The sequence below is a fragment of the Homo sapiens genome, chromosome 8 (genome assembly GCF_000001405.40).
Source record: "Homo sapiens chromosome 8, GRCh38.p14 Primary Assembly".
NCBI lineage: Eukaryota > Metazoa > Chordata > Mammalia > Primates > Hominidae > Homo > Homo sapiens.
Genome location: NC_000008.11, coordinates 109891532 through 109897057, shown reverse-complemented (window position 1 = coordinate 109897057; position 5526 = coordinate 109891532). Strand labels below are relative to the sequence as shown.

The following is a 5526-nucleotide window of genomic DNA, read 5'->3' as shown; positions in this document are numbered from 1 at the left end:
CAGAGTTTCATGGATCCAGAGAGAAGGCAATAGATTCTGGGGTCAAGGAAAAGGGCTTTATTACTCACAGCACAACAAGCACCATGAACATCAGCATCTTTACCCAAGTTCCCAAAAGGTAATGTGAAAGTCTACATGACAGCAGCACACAGTGGGTTGCATCACAGGAAAGAAGCCAAGGGCCCTAACACATTGTGAGTGACTGACAAACACTGTAGCAATCAGCATACAAGACAATACTCTACTCCCAGGGAGCAATCAGTTATGCTGAAGCTGTGCTATAGTTACCTCAGTGTACTTTGCTGTCTATGTGACCAGCTGCAAGGATGGTTTGGTATTAGGAGATGGATAAGCCTTGAGATCTGGGATACTCAGCAAGAACATTTAGAAATGATCAGGGCCCATGGTGGACTGCCTTACCCAACACCAGAAATCTCATATTTCTGTCACATAAAGAGTTATATAATCTTAGATTTGTCTCCTAATTCCAACAACGGTGACTTCATACTAAAAAATGTTGCAACAAAGCAGAACTTTTTAAAGCATATCAAAACTTAACCACATTCACAACCATCACGCTCTTCCTTTTATTCATGCTCGTGCACCAGCCTTCAGCTGTCTTTTATATAGATCTCATTGCTTTCACACAACGATGATGAAATGTCATTGAAATCACAGAGGAACTTTGTCTGGATGTCCATTATAGCCACAGACATCTGCTACCGCCCACTTCTCCATTTCTTCCTCTTTGAATTATTTTATGTATCTCCACACATTCAAATATTTCTTCAAAATTTAACTTTAACTTACTATATTTTCTTTCCAGTGAGTGCCTTACCTATATTCCCCAACAATTAAGTCATAAGTTTCATTTGGAAAGTTTAAAGCATATGTTTTCAGATAAATCTATAGTTATAAAATGTACAGTTGATATTAAATAATTTTGAATCAGAAAAATACATTTCATTCATTGAATATTTTCAATTGCCATCAAGTCCTTGGGATATAAAGATAAATATAAGATTATTTTCTTTAAAAAGCTCATAAATTAGTAAGAAAAATAAACATAAGAGATTGTAATTAATGCAATAAGCTGTGTACAAGGTAAACAGGTGTTATAATACCAAGGAAGATATTATGAAATCTTTACAATGTGGATGATCTGAGCCATATTTTAAAATAAGAATAAGAGTTTATCAGACCAAGTGAGAAAGAATACCCATGGTAAAACCAGAAATTTGTTTCCAAAGAATAACATAACTAAGCATCAGATCAATAACTATATTATAAGTAATAATTTTCTTCCTTCAAAACGTATTGTTCAAAGCAAAAGTCACCTGCAAAGGACATTAAACAATTCAAAATATTCTTTATTCAATGAACACTTTGGAGCATTTGCTGAGTGCTGTATAAACATAGCATTAAAGCTATGTTTATATACTAAAAATTATTAGCTTTGGAAATAGTAATTTCATTAATCCAGTAATTACAGAATTTCCATATTCACCACCTGAATTAATTAAATCTGAATTTTATGGATTGACCAAGAAACATAAAGATGCAATATTAGAATTCTTGTGTGTGTGTGTGTGTGTGTGTGTATACTCACAACATATGTTATTATTATATTACTCAACCAATTAGGATGAATCATATGAAACTGCCATTGATATTTCTAAATGGTTCCACCTAATAGGAAAAAATTTTAATTGCATAATGTAAATATTAGCTTTGGTTCTGATAGGGTGAATTTGAATCCTGCAAAACATGCTTACAGCCTATGCAACTTTGAGCAAGTTGCAAAACCTCTCTGATCCTCCATTCATCATCTATAAAACAGAGATAGCAGAATCAACCTGAATTAGTTTTGTGTTTAGTTGCCTAAGAAAGTCCCAGCCACAGCAGTCTAACTAAATACGGGCTTTATTTTTCTCCCATAACTAAAAATACTGAGGTAGAGAAACAAAAAGTGAAGTTATTGTTGATAATTAGGTCATCAAGAAGGGGAAGAAATTGGGGCTTCAAGAAGACAAATTGAAAGGCTTATAAATGGCCAGATGGCAAAGATGGAGGGGAGGGCAAAGGTTTGAGAATTTTTCAAGGGATCAAATCTGCAGAATTCTGTTTAAATTAACATAGTTGCTTAGTATTTTTATTGTTTACCATGAAAGAGGTTGCTTTTGGATGAAGCTATTTTCTAATAGCTATTTAATGTCCCAAGTGATTCTTCTTGCATCTCTATTCTTAGCATCCATTGTTCTTCATGTTTTCAAAGTGTCTGCTGAATGTTCAGGCATCAGATCAGGTTTTAGGCAAACATTGGGAAGGACAAAGGGCAAAAATTCTCTCGTGAAAGACTTTGGGAAAAGATTCTCTCCCCGAGATGTCCACCTATTCCTCATTGGTCAGAATTGTGTCACATTCACAAACCTAGCTACAGGACAGATTATAAGTTTGAATATTTCACTTTCTAACCACCATAATATATAAAGATCAAAAAGAAGGAAATTGGAAAGATATTGAGTTCCCTTCAGTATCTGCCACACTATCTTTATAGACATCTAAATATTAAATGAGGAAAAATATGTAAAAAAATATGCTTAGTAAAGCAGCTGGAAAATAGTAACTAATTGAGAGTGTTGTTAACAATGACTATGATGATGATGGTGATAATGATGTTCTAATGATAATCATTAAATAAAAATTTAAATCTTGAACATATGTAAATAATTGTTACTACTCAAGTATATTTTTATATATATATATATATATATATATATATATATATATATATATATATATATATATATATAAATTCAATATCTTTCTCCAGGAAATGACAATATTGGTAACAATGAAAGTGCTAATTAATCAAAGTGAAATTATATCTAGTTACCTCATATCTATAACTTTGCTGGAGTTAAGGGGTGTATTTTTAGGTTGAAAAACCTCGTGTTTGATTTCTTTCCAAAGTTTATTTTCTTGGAAAGTTTGAAGACCATCTGTGAAGTTATTTTGAGATATGAATGTAAAAAACTGCTATTTTATTCATTTTGAATGCAGTAATTTTTTAAGCAGTCTGAATATTCTCAGTAAGAAATAAAAAGTGAAGAAAAAAAGTTGGCAATGTAAGAAAGTTTTTTAGAAACGCCAAAAAATTTATCATAGATCAATTTGTTTGGTTCCACCTAACCTAAATGGTTCTAATGATGCTTATCAATTAACTTTAAACTCTTCCTATCCTTTGGTTTGGTTAGCTCCTACAGGTTTCATCTTGATCCCCTGAGTATCATTTCTGAAGCACAACATTTGAATGTTGGATACATTCAAATCTCTCTTTTAAGTTTGGAGCTGCTGGATCTTTATCATCTGACAGCGGAGGGGTAGCCATTGCAGAGGTGGAGGAAGGGCTAAGATATTCCTCTGCATTTGAGTCATCATCTTGTAGGTCAAAGAGACACATAAATAAATAATTGCAATATAATATAATTAAGGAGCAGCAGGGGCATTAACAGAATGTCATAACAACATTGAAGAGAAGGTTACTGGCTCTGCTTAGAGAATATGGAGAATAGTGAGCAAGGTCTCAAAGGATTGGTAAAACTTCCAAAGGCAGCAAAAGAAGAGGAAAGCACTTTAAGTATGTGACCAGTAAATTAAAAGGTCATGTCAATTGGTGTGGTGTGCCTGCAACAGAGGAGACATAATGGGAAGTTTAAAGATAAAACAGAAAAGAATTCAGGGGTTCAGTGGTAAATGTCTCAATTTCTGTTATAGGACCACAGGGAACCATAGAAGGCTCTGAAGTAGCAGGTGAAATGAGTCAGGTTTGTATTTTAGATTGCCAGCTCTGGTATGAGTGTGGAAATTGGATCAGCAAGGGAAAAATCTGGCTTCAAGAAGAGAAATGGAAAGGTTTATAAAAGACCAGGCTAGTGGAGTGAGGATAAGGCAGAAGGCAAAAGCTCGAGAAACATTCAAGAGGTCAAATCTATAAAATTCTGATTTAATTAACATGATTGTTTAGTTGGTATTGTTGCTGTTGTTGTTTACCACAATTTTGGCTTGCTTTTGAATAAAGCTTTTTCCTACTAGCCTATATAAATATTTAAATAATACGCCCTCCTCTTAAATACATTCTCACCTCTCCCTTTTTTATTTTTCCACTTAACTATTTCTTAACTGCACATGGAGATCCTGAGCATTCCTCATGCACCCATTTAGCCACTAATTCATTCTTAATGTCCTCTTCATTTTTCTCTCCCTCATCTTTATACACAGATTACGGCTATGTTTAGGAGTATCACACTCTGAGGACTGTTGTGGGGTGGGGGGAGTGGGGAGGGATAGCACTGGGAGATATATCTAATGCTAGATGACGAGTTAGTGGGTGCAGCGCACCAGCATGGCACATGTATACATATGTAACTAACCTGCACAATGTGCACATGTACCCTAAAACTTAAAGTATAATAAAAAAAAGAAAAGAAAAAAAAGGAAGTACAGGGATAAAAGCGTATTTGAACTATGAGGGTGATTGTTTTTTCATTTTTAATTATAGCCCCTTATAGATATTCAACCACACAATGCCAAAGTAAATCTCAATTCCATGAATTAATGACCTTTCAGAGGTGTCATATTTCCAAAACATAGCCTATTTGATCTATTGAAAGGATTTTGTTTTAATATTAGTTCTGTGGTGAAGAATATCTGTCTTGTTAATTGCCACTGTATAGTTATAACACCAGTACTTGGCTTTTTATAGTTCAACTAGCTGCTCAGATTTTATGTAAATATCATCAAATTCCCTTGGTGTGTCCACATTAAGAAAAAAAAAATCTACTTGTCCTGCAGACAAAAGGGAAAAGAAAATTGTATACCCATCTCGTCCATAGTGTGGAGGGATGATATTATTTCTATTCTGATTGTGAATTTCAAATTTTGCTTATCCTAACTTTATCACCACTTAATTAATTTGAAATTTTACTTCAAACATCAGTAACTCAAGTGGACCTCATCCAAACATTACTGAATCAACTAGTTGATACACTCTTAGTGCACCCTTCTAGAAAGGAAACATATCTTCAGCAAATTGGCAAAATGTTAGTTTCTTATCTACAGAGAATTTTAAATAAGAAATCTTATTTTGTTTTTGTACAGAATAATATAATGCAAAACCATGTTGAAATTTTCAGTTCTATTATTATTGACATGGCTATCAGTCACTGTCCATAGTCTTACAGATAAATTTGATTAGAATTTTTCTACAATGAGTAAAAATAAAGCCTTTATAGAAAATATTATGGCCAATATACAGATGCCAAGTTAATTTTAACACTTCACATTTGAAATAAGAATACTGCTAAAAAATTTTTAGCCTCAAATTACTTATCTAATAACACATCTGGAAGTAATAATAGATTTCATGTATAATGAGAGGTGCAAAAGGAGAAATGTCACTTATAATTTCTTTAGTTCCAAAGGCAGCTGCTCTACATTGTGAAACATTTAGTATGATTAAATTAT

General features: G+C 33.3%; 1 annotated feature.

Moving 5' to 3' along the window:
- Window positions 1–502: an enhancer, noted in NCBI's record as "NANOG hESC enhancer chr8:110908785-110909286 (GRCh37/hg19 assembly coordinates)". NCBI's record gives its function as "activates a minimal SCP1, AML or CMV promoter by ChIP-STARR-seq in naive H9 embryonic stem cells {active_cell/tissue: H9 hESC(naive)}" and the evidence as "EXISTENCE:reporter gene assay evidence [ECO:0000049][PMID:30033119]".